We start from the raw sequence: 15,315 nt of genomic DNA, 5'->3' as shown, positions 1-15,315 counted from the left end.
GTTACTGTAGCCTTGTAGTGTAGTTTGACGTCAGGTAGCATGATGCTTCCAGCTTTGTTCTTTTGGCTTAGGATTGTCTTGGCTATACAGGCTCTTTTTTGGTTCCACATGAAATTTAAAGTAGTTTTTTTCTAAATCTGTGAAGAATATCAATGGTAGCTTGAATCTATAAATTTGAGCAGTATGGCCATTTTCACATTGTTGATTCTTCCTATACATGAGCATGGAATGTTTTTCTATTTGTTTGTGGCCTCTCTTGTTTCCTTGAGCAGTGGTTTGTAATTCTCTTGGAAGAGGTCCTTAACATCCCTTGTAAGTTGTATTCCTAGGTATTTTATTCTCTTTGTAGCAATTGTGAATGGGAGTTCTCATGATTTGGCTCTCTGTTTGCCTATTATTGGCATATAGGAATGCTTGTGATTTTTGCACATTGATTTTGTATCCTGAGACTTTGCTGAAGTTGCTTAGCAGCTTAAGGAGTTTTTGGACGGAGAGGATGGGGTTTCCTAAACATACAATTATGTCATCTGCAAACAGAGACAATTTGACTTCCTGTCTTCCTATTTGAATACCCTTTATTTCTTTCTCTTGCCTTATTGCCCTGGCCAGAACTTCCAATACTATGTTGAATAGTAGTGGTGAGAGACAGCTTCCTTGTCTTGTGCTGGTTTTCAAAGGGAATGCGTCCAGCTTTTGCCAATTCAGCATGATATTGGCTGTGGATTTGTCACAAATAGCTCTTATTATTTTGAGATACGTTCCGTCACTACCTAGTTTATTGAGTGCTTTTAGCATGAAGGGGTGTTGAATTTTATCAAAGGACTTTTCTGCATCTATTGAGAGAATCAAGTGGTTTTTGTCATTGGTTCTATTTATGCGATGGATTACGTTTATTGATTTGCACATGTTGAACCAGCCTTGTTTCCCAGGGATGAAGCCCACTTGATCATGGTGGATAAGCTTATTAATGTGCTGCTGGATTCAGTTTGCCAGTATTTTATTGAGGATTTTCACATCAATATTCATTAGGGATATTGGCCTGAAATTTTCTTTTTTGTGTTTTGTGTTATGTTTCCTAGGTTTTGTCATCAGGATGATGCTGGCTTCATAAAAAGACTTTAGAAGGAATGGTACCAGCTCGTCTTTGTACCTCTGGTAGAATTCAGCTGTGAATCTCTCTGGCCCTGAGCTTTTCTTTAGTGGAAGGCTATTAATTATTGCCTCAATTTCAGAACTTGTTATTGCTCTATTCAGTGATTCAACTTCTTTCTGGTTTAGTCTTGGGAGGGTGTATGTGTCCAGGAATTTATCCATTTCTTCTAGATTTTCTAGTTTATTTGTGTAGAGGTGTTTATAGTATTTTCTGGTGGTAGTTTGTATTTCTGTGGGATCAGTGGTGATATCCCCTTTATCATTTTTTATTGTGTCTATTTGATTCTTCTCTCTTTTCTTCTTCATCATTCTGGCTAGTGGTCTATCTATTTTGTTAATCTTTTCAAAAAACCAGCTCCCAGATTCATTGATCCCTTGAAGGGTTTTTCGTGTCTCTATCTCCTTCAGTTCCGCTCTGATCTTAGTTATTTCTTGTCTTCTGCTAGCTTTTGAATTTGTTAGCTCTTGCTCTAGTTCTTTTCATTGTGATTTAAAGTGTCGATTTTAGATCTTTCCTGCTTTCTCCTGTGGGCATTTAGTGCTATAAATTTCCCTCTAAACACTGCTTTAGCTGTGTCCCAGAGATTTTGGTACATTGTGTCTTTGTTCTCACTGATTTCAAATAACTTATTTATTTCTCCCTTAATTATGTCATTTACCCAGTAGTCATTCAGGAGCAGGTCATTCAGTTTCTCTGTTGTTGTGTGGTTTTGAGTGAGTTTCTTAATCCTGAGTTCTAATTTGACTGCACTGTGGTCTGAGAGAGGGTTCCGTTATTTTGCATTTGCGAGGAGTGTTTTACTTCCAATTTTGTGGTCAATTTTAGAATAAGTGCAATGTGGTGCTGAGAAAAATGTATATTGTGTTGATTTGAGGTGGAGAGTTCTGTAGATGTCTATTAGGTCCGCTTGGTCCAGAGCTGAGTTCAACTCCTGAATACCCTTGTTAATTTTTTGTCTTGTTGATCTGCCTAATATTAACAGTGGGGTGTTAAAGTCTCCCACTATTATTATGTGGGAGTCTAAGTCTCTTTGCAGGTTTCTTAGAACTTGCTTTATAAATCTGGGTGCTTCTGTATTGGGTGCATCCATGTTTAGGATAATTAGCTCTTCTTGTTGCATTGATCCCTTTACCATTATATAATGCCCTTCTTTGTCTTTTTTGATCTTTGTTGGTTTAACGTCTGTTTTTTCAGAGACTAAGATTACAACTCCTGTTTTTTTTTCCTCTCCATTTGCTTGGTAAATATTTCTCCATCCTTTTATTTTGAGCCTATGTGTGTTTTCGCATGTGAGATGGGTCTGCTGAATACAGCACAACGATGAGTCTTGACTCTTTATTCAATTTGCCAGTCTGTGTCTTTTAATTGGGGCATTCATTCCATTTACATTTAAGGTTAATATTGCTATGTGTGAATTTGATCCTGTCATTATGATCCTAGCTGGTTATTTTGCCCACTAGTTGATGCAGTTTCTTCATAGTGTCGATGGTCTTTGCATTTTGTTATGTTTTTGCAGTGGCTGCTACTAGTTTTTCTTTTCCATATTTAGTGCTTCCTTCAGGAGCTCTTGTAAGGCAGGCCTGGTGGTGACAAAATCCCTCAGCATTTGCTTTTATGTAAAGGATTTTATTTCTCCTTCACATATGAAGCTTAGTTTGGCTGGATATGAAATTCTGGGTTGAAAATTCTTTTCTTTAAGAATATTGAATTTTGGCCTCCACTCTCTTTTGGCTTGTAGAGTTTCTGCAGAGAGATCTGCTGTTACTCTGATGGGCTTCCCTTTGTGGGTAACCTGACCTTTCTCTCTGGCTGCCCTTAACATATTTTCCTTCATTTCGAACTCGGTGAATCTGTCGGTTATGTGTCTTGGGGTTGCTCTTCTCAAGGAATATCTTTGTGGTGTTCTCTGTATTTCCTGAATTTGAATGTTGGCCTGTCTTGCTAGGTTGGAGAAGTTCTCCTGGATAATATCCTGAAGTGTGTTTTCCAACTTCATCCCATTCTCCCTGTCACCTTCAGGTACAGCAGTGAAACGTAGGTTTGGTATTTTCACATAGTCCTATATTCCTTGTAGGCTTTGTTCCTTTTCATTCTTTTGTCTCTAATCTTGTCTTCAAGCCTTATTTCATTAAGTTGGTCTTCAATCTGATATCCTTTCTTATGCTTGATTGATTCGGCTACTGATAATTATGCATGATTCACTAGGTTCTCATGCTGTGTTTTTCAGCTCCATCAGGTTATTTATGTTCTTCTCTAAACTGGTTATTCTGTTTAGCACTTCCTGTAACCTTTTAGCAAGTTTCTTAGCTTGCTTGCATTAGGTTAGAACATGCTCCTTTAGCTCAGATGAGTTTGTTATTACCCACGTTCTGAAGCCTACTTCTGTCAATTTGTCAAACTCCTTCTCTGTCCAGTTTTGTTCCCTTGCTGGTGAGGAGGTGTGATCCTTTGGAGGAGAAGAGGCATCCTGGTCGTTGGAATTTTTAGCCTTTTTGCACTGTTTTTTCCTCATCTTTGTGGATTTGTCTGCCTTTGGTCTTTGATGTTGGTGACCTTCAGATGGGGTTTTTGAGTGGTTGTCCTTTCTGTCAATGTTGATGCTATTGTTTCTGTTTGTTAGTTTTCCTTCTAACAGTCAGGCATCTCTTCTGCAGGTCTGCTGGAGTTTCCTGGAGGTCCAATCCAGACCGTGTTTGCCTGGGTATCACCAGCGGAGGCTGCAGAACAGCAAAGATTGCTGCCTGCTCCTTCCTCTGGAAGCTTTGTCCCAGAGAGGCACTCTCCAGATGCCAGCTGGAGTTCTCCTATAGGAGGTGTCTGTTGACCCCTGCTGGGAGATGTCTCCCCGTCAGGAAGCACAGGGGTCAGGGACACACTTGAGGAGGCAGTCTGTCCCTTAGCAGAGCTTGAGTGCTGTGCTGAGAGATCCTCTGCTCTCTTCAGAGCTGGCAGGCAGGAATGTTTAAGTCAGCTGAAGCTGTGCCCACAGCCACCCCTTCCCCCAGGTCCTCTGTCCCAGGCAGATGGCAGTTTTATCTATAAGCTCCTGACTGGGGCTGCTGCCTTTTTTTCAGAGATGCCCTGCCCAGAGAGGAGGAATCTAGAGAGGCTGTCTGGCTACAGTGGGTTTGCGGTGCGGTGGTTGGCTCTGCCCAGTCTGAACTTCCCAGAGGCTTTGTTTACACTGTGAGGGGAAAACCGCCTACTCAAGCCTCAGTAATGGTGGACGCCCCTCCCCCCAGGCTTGAGTGTCCCAGCTGGACTTCAGACTGCTGTGCTAGCAGCGAGAATTTCAAGCCAGTGGGTCTTAGCTTGTTGGGCTCTGTGGGGGTGGGATCCACTGAGGAAGACCACTTGGCTCCCTGGCTTCAGCCCCCTTTCCAGGGGAGTGGAGGGTTCTGTCTTTCTGGCGTTCCGGGTTCCACTGGGGTACAAAAGAAATTCCTGCAGCTAGCTCGGTGTCTGCCCAAATGGCTGCCCAGTTTTGTGCTTGAAACCCAGGGCCCTGGTGGTGTCAGCACCCAAGGGAATCTCCTGGTCTGTGGGTTATGAAGACCATGGGAAAAGTGTAGTATCTGGGCCGGATAGCTCCATCCCTCACGGCACAGTCCCTCACGGCTTCCCCTGGCTAGGGGAGGGAGTTCCCCTACCCCTTGTGCTTCCCAGGTGAGGCAACGTTCCACCCTGTTTTGGCTCACCCTCTGTGGGCTGCACCCACTGTCTAACCAGTCCCAGTGAGATGAGCTGGGTACCTCAGTTGGATATGCAGAAATCACCTGCCTTCTGCATTGGTCTTGCTGGGAGCTGCAGACTGGAGCTGTTCCTATTCAGCCATATTACCTGTGAGTCCTACTATCTTATTTTTAAAATACAGTTTTTCTTGTTTATTTTACTAGAGAACTTACTAGCAAAGCAATCCACTGCTTTACTCTTGGTAACTTTCGTTCTGGTCTAACTTGGGAAACTGTGGCCATGACACAGGAAATTTTACAAGTAACTGCATGATCTCAGATATTACATCACTATGTCATATTCTTCCTCTGAAGCACAATGGATTATGGCTTCTTTAAAACTCTAAAACAGTCTGGGGAAAATATTGGAAAATATAATAGTCCCATGCCTACACTTCTCTTTTAAAGCCCAGGCTTTAAGTATGACGAGGCATAAGTAAAATAATGAGTTTTTCCATTTTTGCCTTTCCTCCCCGTCCCCCAACCTACCTTCAAACTTTCATCATCTGTGCTTGTTCCTGACTTCCTGGCCACCTATGGTGCTCTCCTGCCAGATTGTCTTCCTCCATGTTGGCCACAAGGTGGCGCTCTCAACGCTCATCTATATATATTCCACTATCACTGAGACCCTCACTACAATGAACCCCCTGTGAATGTGATTCTGTCTCTCCCAAGCGTTCTGAGGTTGTTTAGACAGTGTTAACAGGACTAATCTGATAAGTGAATTTTCATATTGGAGAAAGACTAAGAAAATGTTCAAGGACTTACTTTCTCAGTGTTACAGTCATTGTTTTCTGACTCAAGAGTTCTTTGCTTAGAGGAAAGTGACTCCGATGTTGAATTACATTACATATATTCTTGCATACTACATGTGTTCATGAAGCTATCCCTGATTTTGATAGGGGATTTGGCGATAAATTTCAAAGTAAAGTAGGGTTTCTACTTCTCGCTTATCTTTGTCCTAAACACATTTTCTTGCTCTCCAGACATCTTGAAATTTGAATATATAAACAAAGTGTAGGTAGAAGGGGTATTATGTGATAGAAAGTGGCTGCCTTTGAAATCAAAACATGTTTGAGTCCCTACTCAGTCACTTACTATATGGGTGATCTTGGTTGATTCTTTTAAAGTCTGTTATCTTAAACTGTATTATCTCAAATGGAGGTCATAATGCTTTATCTCTTTTGTAGGTTCTTTATCTCTTTTTTGTGTCTCTTTATGTCTTTTGTAGGCTCATTGCAAATCTTAAATGATCCATTTTATACAAAAATGTGTAACGTGTATTCTTTTATTCAACAAATACTTACAGATTGCCAATATCTGCCTTTTACTCTGTGCCAAAAAAGAAAGTTATTGATCTTATAATTTTATCTTCAAATTTCACAATTTTTCTCCTGGCTTCAATTACCTGGAAATATTATTATTACCAGGAAAGAGTATGTAATATCATATGACATACTGATATGGTCCATGCATGTTATTCAATGATGAAATATCTTCATTATCTTCGTGATACACCCTTTTTTTCCTTTGTGGTTGAACTGTTCTCTCCATATGATATAATCCTCATAGAATCTACAGGAAAACAGTCTCTGATTCCCTACGTCAACATCACTTTGTGCACACTGTATTGAATTGTGAATGTCTGCTCTATACATGTGTTTCTCTTAACAGACTTAGGGCAGTGACTACTAGACATTATTCACTTTTGCATCCTCCTCACTTAGCATAGTAACGTCAAAGTAATTGTTTTCAGAAAGTTGGTTCAGGACTCATTAATGGATAATTTCAATGAGTCATTAAGTATGGCCACTAAGCTTCCAACAGACAGGCACAAATTCACTTATCCTTCAATTTTACTAATATTGCAGAAATGGATGCTTTAAATTTTACTAAAATATTCTTAAAATCTATAATTAGAGAATTCCATAGAAAACAGATTATCTGTTACATATTGATCATAAAACTCCGTAGCATGAAAGTCATATAATACATGTGATTATTGTGATTATTATTTTTGTGATGATAACTACTGGATCTAGGCCTTTATGCTAAGGAACAATATGTCGCATTATCTCAGAAATAACACATTTTTACTATTAAAAATGTATTGCCTGACATTATAAATTTCTAATATGGTAAACTACTTAAAATTATCCATCATAAATTTATTAAAGACTGAAAATGTTTGTGAATTAGGTCATTTTGCAGAGTCTTATGCCCTGGAATGGTTAATATTTATAAGTTATAATAATTTATATTTCCCCAAATATAAATTTTATTGACAAAATATGGGTCCTATTTTTCATTTGCAACTATACAACCCAAAGTGAAAAGCACAGGCATGCTGGGTGTGTTGTTGCCATGCATGTCACTAATTACAAGGCCCAGAGTGCTGAGGAATAGCAGGGGTTTTACATCCTTTGTCTGGTGAAGTCTGTCTGCATGAGATGGAGTTCAACGAGGTTTTTAGCATATTATTCTCATTAAACCATGCAGGAATTTCATTTCACAAATCCAATTAATACAAACAGATGGTTGGTGGCAAAATCTCTGCCTGTTACACCAAAATTTTTCATTTACTTTGCAGAGTGAAAATTCAGAGCTCACTGAACTTCAGGATGGAACTATCCCAGGCAGAGTGAGTCAGGCAAACTGTAGGCACTTTGGGCAAGAATGCATATTCTCTGCCAAGGCATCACTTATTTTACAGGGAAAAAACAGGTAAATTTTGAAAATATGTTTACACTTTTAACTTTCACTAGAAAATTTGAAGCACCTCGGAATTTTACAATTAATTGAAGCATTGGTGACTTTCTATTTTTAAAAAGACAAGTATTTAAAAAACTCTACGAAGCTTAGTGTAGGTCAGTACTATTCACAAATTTAAAATAAAGTGGTTTATAGAGAAAAAAGTGTTGTTATCCAGCATTCTCTTGTTGGGATTTTTAATTGCCAGTTTTTCCTCTGGGTTTTCTATACTCCTAAGCTAGACCTCATTCAGTAATGAGATACGTAGAAGAAGAAGGAACGTTACTCTTGGATATAAACGCAGAAAAAATGATTTTTAAAAACCAAAGATGCGGCCGGACGCGGTGGCTCATGCCTGTAATCCCAGCACTTTGGGAAGCCGAGGCGGGTGGATCAGGAGGTCAGGAGATCGAGACCACCCTGGCTAACATGGTGAAACCCGGTCTCTACTAAAAATACAAAAAATTAGCCGGGCGCCGTGGTGGGCGCCTATAGTCCCAGCTACTCGGGAGGCTGAGGCAGGAGAATGGCGTGAACCCGGGAGGCGGAGCTTGCAGTGAGCTGAGATCGCGCCACTGCACTCCAGCCTGGGCGAAAGAGCGAGACTCCGTCTCAAAGAACAAAAAACAAACAAACAAACAAAAAACAGAGATGCTTTAGAAACTAACAGTATATCCAAAAGCAGCCTAGGATAGACAATCATTGTTAGATTATTTTTTCAAAATTGGAGGAGTATGAATATCACTTACTGTAAGCAAAAGACAAAAGTTTTCTGAGGCTGACTTTTTCTCTCTCCTTCCTTTATAATAGGCAACTTCTGAATTAGTGACACTATAACTCTCCTCTTAAAAACATTCATAAAAAATATATTTGCTAAAAAGGAAGCAGAAATCTTGCTGAGAAACTAATTTTGAAGGAATACCAAGTGAATATTTATGAAGATACTGTGGGATATTCCTTGGGAAAAATGCTCTTAAAGCATTATATTTACTAGCTACTTACGGATCCTTAGAATAGACTGGGATGAAAAGTTAGCACATCTTTGCTAGATATCCTGAATGCTAACAATATGTCAGTGAGTGTCAGGGCTGACATTGTAATATAAGCATTGAGATCTTCAGAGTTTCTTGGTTGGTTTCAATATTCTCTTTTCAATGGTCGTAGAAACTGTCATTCTGGCATATTCTGGGTAAGCCAAAAAAAGGCCCTTCCCAACAAATCTCCCATGCTGCTCTTCCAATTCCATCACCACTTTCCCTTATCAACAATTCAATGCTGCCCCCCAAATCAGTCTTAGTCTTAAATTAAACGTTGCTCATGAAGGTGTATTATTATCTTGAATCTATTTCTGAAAACAATTTGGTAAGGAAACGGGTTTTATATTGAAGTTAAACCCTGGGCAAAACTTATTATGGCCAGGCATGGTGGCTCACACCTGTTATTCCAGCACTTCGGGAGGCCAAGGTGGCAAATCACCTAAGGCCAAGAGTTTGAGACCAGCCTGGCCAACATGGCGAAACCCCATCTCTACTAAAAATACAAAACTTAGCTGAGGATGGTGGCGGGTGCTTGAAATCTCAGCTACTCAGGAGGCTGAGGCAGGGAGAATTGCTTGAACCCAGAAGGTAGAGGTTACAGTAAGCATAGGTCGCGCCAGTGCACTCCAGCCTGGGTGACAGAGCAAGACTCCGTCTCAAAAAAGAAAAAAAAGAGTTATTATATGTTTGATGATTAGAAATAGAAAAATTTTAAAGGTTCATAATATTCTTATACACATAAACACATACTACAAATGGTAGCCTTTATCAATAGGTTAGTTTAAATCATCAAATGAAAGAAAATACCAAAGAGATTAAAAATTACTTAGGAACACACAGAAAAGCTTATTAGTGATTTTAAATTCTCTTTTCCTGTGTTAAACACAGTAAATAAAAGAAAGACTTCAGAAGTATTTATGAGAACTGTAATGCTGAAATTTGATAGGGAAAAGGCAAAAAGATAAAGGGAATTGTAATATTGCTTTTCTAAGTTTAGAATGAGATTTATTTGCTTTGCTTAGAGAGCACAACCAATAACATGAATAGTTTTGAATTATCTTAAAGTCTCCTCACTATTTTAGCAGAACCTTATTCACCTGAGCTATCTCTTACTAAACGTAAATAACAACTAGTGCAGTGTAATAACTTTGCTTTTTGTTATGTGGTACTTTTGCCAGTAAAAAGTTTTTAACTACTGAAATTTGAAAGTAAATATGAAACAAACGAAATAGTATGAGTAAAGTACATTTTGGTAATGTTTATTTCCTTCTGGTTTTTCCCTAAAAACTCCAATGAGATAAAATATTTAAAAATATTTATAGCATGCTGTGATTTGGATATACTTTGTTCTCACTAAAACTCATGTTGAAATTTGATCCTCAATGTGAGAGCATTAGGAGGTGGTACCTAGTGGGAGGTCTTTGAGTCTTGTGGGCTGATCCCTTATAAAAGCTTTAGTTTCATTTTCCCTGGCAGTGAGTCAGTTCTTGCTCTCATAAGACTAGATGAGCTTCCGCAGAAATGGATTTGTTACTGCAAAAGTGAGTTGTTACAAAGCAGGATGCCCATTAGGTTTTGCCGCTTTGCACATGTCTGCTTCTCCTTTAGCTTTCTCCACCATGTTTTGATCAAGTGGATGGATCTCACCAGAAATCAAATTTTCAAAAATTAAGGAAAAATAGAGAATATTGAAACCTGCAAGGGAAAAGTGTATTGTTATGTACATGGAGAACTCTCCAAGAGACTATCAACATTTTTCAACAGAAACCTAGTAGGCCAGAAGGAATTCAATGATATGTTTCAAAAGCTGAAAGAAAAAGAAACCTGTTAACCAAGAACACTACACTCAGCAATCTTGCTCTTCAAAAGTGAAGAATAAACACTTCCTCAGACAAACAAAAGCTGAGGAAATTTATCACTGCTAGACCTGCCTTACAAAAAATGCTAAAAAGAGTTCTGGAAACTGAAGGAAAATGCCACTTAGTAGCAATACGAAAATATAAAACTCACTGGTAAAAGTAACCACATAATCAAACAAATAATTTGTTAAGAAACACAGACTTTAAAAGATACAAAAACAAATTGTATGTTGGGGGAAGTAAAGGTGTAGAGTTTGTGCAAATAAAAGTAAAGTTGTTATCAGCTTAAAATAGTCTGTTAATAGTGTAATATATTTTATGTGTTTCATGTAAGCACAAAGTAAAAACTCTTAGTAGGTACATAGAAGATAAAAAGAGAGGATTCAAGGCACACCACTATGGAAAATCATCAAACCAGAAAGAAAGACAGCAAAAGAAGAAGAGAAGAACAAATAATCTACAAATTAATTAGAAAACAGTTAACACAATGGAAACAATAAGTCTTTACCTAAATAATTCATCTGAATGTAAATTGATTAAATTTTGTAATCAAAAGACATCAAGTGGCTGAACTGATAAAAATAGAAAGACCCAACTATATGCTGCCTACAAGGAGCTCAGTTCACCTCTAAGGACACAAACTGAAATCGAAAGAATGGACAGATATTCTATACAAATGGAAAACAAAAGAAGCAAAAGTATCTATACTTAGACAAAATAGACTTTAAAAATTGTAAAAAGAGGCAAAGAATGTTATTTTATAATGATAGAGGGGTCAATTTATCAAAAAGTTATAACAATGTAAATATATATGCACTCAACATTGGAGCACCAAAATACATTAAGCAAAAATTGATAGAGCTAAATATAAGGATAGACTGCAACATAATACTAGGAGGATACTTTACTAGCCCACTCTCAAAAATGAACAGATCATCCAGAAAAAGGATCAATTAAAAAACATTGGATTTGAACTACATTTTACACCAAATGGACCTAACAGAGATTTACAGAACACTTTATCAAACAGCAACAGAGTACATGTTTTTCTTGAGTACACACAGCACATTCTCCAAAATAGACTGTTAGGCCACAAAACAAGCCTTACCAAATTGAGGATTACTGAAACCATATTGAATATCTTTTCTGACCACAATAACATGAAACTAGAAATCAGTAATAGAAAAATCATGAAAAACTCATAAATACATGAAAATTAAACAACATGCTCCTAAACATCCAATGGGTTTAAAAAAAATAAAAAGGAAATTAAAACATATACTGAGTCAAACAAAAATTGGAATGCAACATACCAAAATCTATGGTGTGCAGTAAACGGTTTTTTTTTTTTTTGGAGCTAGAGTCTTGCTCTGTTACCCAGGCTGGAATGCATGGTGTGATCTTGGCTCACTGTCACCTCTGTCTCCCAGGTTCAAGCGATTCTCCTGCCTCAGCCTCCTGAGTATCTGGGATTACAGGCACCCGTCACCATGCCCAGCTAATTTTTTATAGTTTTAGTGGAGACAGGGTTTCACCATGTTGGTCAGGATGGTCCCGAACACTTGACCTCAAGTGATCCGCCCATTTCGGCCTCCCAAAGTGCTGGGATTGCAGGCATGAGCCACTGTGCCCAGCCAAAACACTTCTAAGAGAAGTTTATAGCAATAAATATCTATACCAGAAAAGATTAAAGATTTTAAATAAACACCCGAACGTTATACCTCAAGGAACTAAGAAAGAAAAAGTAAAGTCAGAATTAGCAGAAGAAAGGAACTAAAGATCAGAGGAAAAGTAAACAAAATAGAGACTAGGAAAACAACAGAAAAAAACAACAAAACTAAAATTTGATTTTTTGAAAAGATAAATCAACAAAACTTTAGCTAGACTAACAAAGAAAAAAGGAGAGAAGACTCAAAATTAGAAATGTAAGAGGAGACATTACAACTGATGCCACAGAAATACAAAGGGTCATGAGACCACTATGAACAACTACAGATGCTCCTTGACTTATAAGAGAGTCATGTCTCAATAAATTCATTATAAGTTAGAATTATCATAAGTTGAAAATGCATTTAACACACCTAACCTTTCAAATATCCTAGCTCAGCCCAGCCTACTGTAAACATGCTCAGAACACTTACATTAGCTTACAATTGGGCAAAATTATCTGGTAACACAGTACACTATAAAGTATCTATGGTTTACCATCAGAATGGTGTGGCTGACTGGGAACTTCAGCTTTCTGACACTGTCCAGCATTGTGAGAGAGTATCATACCAGTTGTTACTAGTCCAGGAAAAGATTTAAAATTTGAAGTACAATTTCTACTGAATGAGTATCACTTTTGCACCATTCTAAAGTTGAAAAATTGTAAATCAAATCATAGTTAGTCAGGGACCACCTGTAAACACCAACAAATTGGATAGCTTAAAATAAATAAATTAATTAATTGCTAGAAACATGCAACATTTCAATGCTAAATCAGAAGAAATAGAATGTCTGAACAGATCAAAAATGAGTAAGAAGATTTACTAATAAATAATCTCTCATGAATTCTACCAAGCATTTAAAGAAGAACAAATACCAATCTCCTTCCTAACCTCTTCCAAAAGATTGAAAAAGGGGGGACTAATTTCAAACTCATTTTATAAAGCTAGAATTACCCTGACAAGGAAACTATAACAAAAAAAGAAAATGACAGGCCAATATTCCTGATGTACATAAATGCAGAAGTCCTCAACAAAATACTAGCAAACAAAATTCAACTGCACAATAAAAAGATCATTCACTGTGACCAAACAGGATTCATCCTCAGGTGCAAGGATGGTTCAACATACGTAAATCAGTCATTGTTATCTACCACAGAAACAAAATGAAGGACAAAAATCACACAACCATTTCAATGGATGCAGAAAAAACACTGGACAAAATTAGACATTTTTTTATAGTGAAAACTCTCAACAAACTAGGTGTAAAAGGAACCTACCCCAAAACAACAAAGGCCATATATGACAAGTCCACAGCTAACATATGGGGTATATGTGCAGAATGTGCAGCTTTGTTACATAGGTAAATGTGTGCTATGGTGGTTTGCCGCACAGATCATCCCATCACCCAGGTATTAAGCCCAGCACTAGCTATTTTTCCTGATCCTCTCCCCACTCCCACTCTCCACCCTTTCCACATGTCTATGTGTTCCCATGCTAACATGATTCTCAATGGTGAAAATTTGAAAGATTTTCCTCTAAGACCAGGATTCAGACAAAGATGCCCAGCCTGGCTACTTCTATTCAGCATAGCACTAGAAGTTCTAGTCAAACCAATTAGGCAAGTGAAAGATACAAGGTATCTACATAGGAAAGGAAAAAGTGAAATTGTCTCTGTTTGCTGATGACATGGTCTTATATACAGAAAACCCTAACGACTTCACCAAAAAATATATTACACCTGGTAAACAAACTCAATAAAGTTGCACGTTACAAAATCAATATACAAAAATCAGTAGTGTTTCTGGACACTAACAATAAACTATCTGAAAAGGAAATTAAGAAAACAACCAAATTTACAATAGCATTAACAAATACTTAGAGAAAATTTAGAAAAAGTAGGTAAAAGATCTATAAACTGAAAACCATAAAACATTGATAAAATAAATTGAAGGCATAGATAAATGGGAAGGTAACCCATGTTTATGGGTGGAAGAGTTAATATTGTGAAAATGTCCATACTTCCCCAAGCAATCTAGAGATTCAATGCAATTCCTATCAAAATTCTCATGTCATTTTACACAGAAATAGAAAAATCCTAAAATGTATATGAAACCAGAAAAGACCTGAACTAGCCAAAACAATCTTGAGCAAAAGGACAAAGCTGGAGGCATCACATTATCTGATTTTATTTTGATATAATATTTTGATCTATTGAACTATTGTAATCAAAACAGCATGATACCAAAATAAAAAGAGACATATAGACCAACACAGCAATATAGACAGCCCAGAAATAAACCCCAAAATTTACAGTCAGTTTATTTTTGACAAAGGTGGCAAGAACACAGAATGGGGAAAGAATAGGCACTTCAATAAATTGTACTGGAATAATGATATCTACATGCTGAAGAATCAATTTGGATGTTTATCTCACACCATATACAAAAGTCATCTCAAAATGGATAGAAGACTTAAATGACTAAACCTGTAAAGCTACTAGAAGAAAACAGAGGAACAGCTCCATAATATTGGTCTATGAAATAATTTTTTTGGTAAGAACTTCAAAAACACAGGCAACAAAAGCAAAATTAGGAAGATGGGATTGCATCAAAGTAAAAAGCTTCTCCACTGCAAAAGAAAAAAGTAACAGGGTGCCGAGAGGCCATGACTTGGAGAAAATATTTGCAAACTGTACATCTGATAAGGGGCTAAAATCCGAAATTTATAAGAAACTCAAAGAACTCAATGACAAGAAAACAAATAACATGATTTAAAAATGGGCAAAGGAGCTGAACAGACGTTCTCAAAATGGCAAATATTTTCTCCCATGTATTTTCTCTTTTATTTCTTTTTGGCTTCCTGATAGTGATTGTATTTTGTGTCTTCTTTTTTTTTAATCATGGGAAAATTGATACATTTATAATTATAAACTTTATGCACAATTTTAACACATCTTTGTTGACTAATACATGGAGTAAAAAAATCAGTATACAGAAAAAAATTTCTAAAACTGGAAACAGCCCAAATATCCATTTTACAGTAAAATAGAGGAAAAATATGATATCTTTATAAACT

General features: G+C 37.4%; 1 annotated feature.

Annotated features, from left to right (window-relative positions):
- Positions 4,555-5,060: an enhancer, noted in NCBI's record as "H3K27ac-H3K4me1 hESC enhancer chr7:79649082-79649587 (GRCh37/hg19 assembly coordinates)". NCBI's record gives its function as "activates a minimal SCP1, AML or CMV promoter by ChIP-STARR-seq in naive H9 embryonic stem cells {active_cell/tissue: H9 hESC(naive)}" and the evidence as "EXISTENCE:reporter gene assay evidence [ECO:0000049][PMID:30033119]".

This window comes from Homo sapiens, chromosome 7 (genome assembly GCF_000001405.40).
Source record: "Homo sapiens chromosome 7, GRCh38.p14 Primary Assembly".
Taxonomy (NCBI): domain Eukaryota; kingdom Metazoa; phylum Chordata; class Mammalia; order Primates; family Hominidae; genus Homo; species Homo sapiens.
The sequence above is the reverse complement of the archived record's forward strand: the minus strand, read 5'-3'. Positions and strand labels throughout refer to the sequence as shown.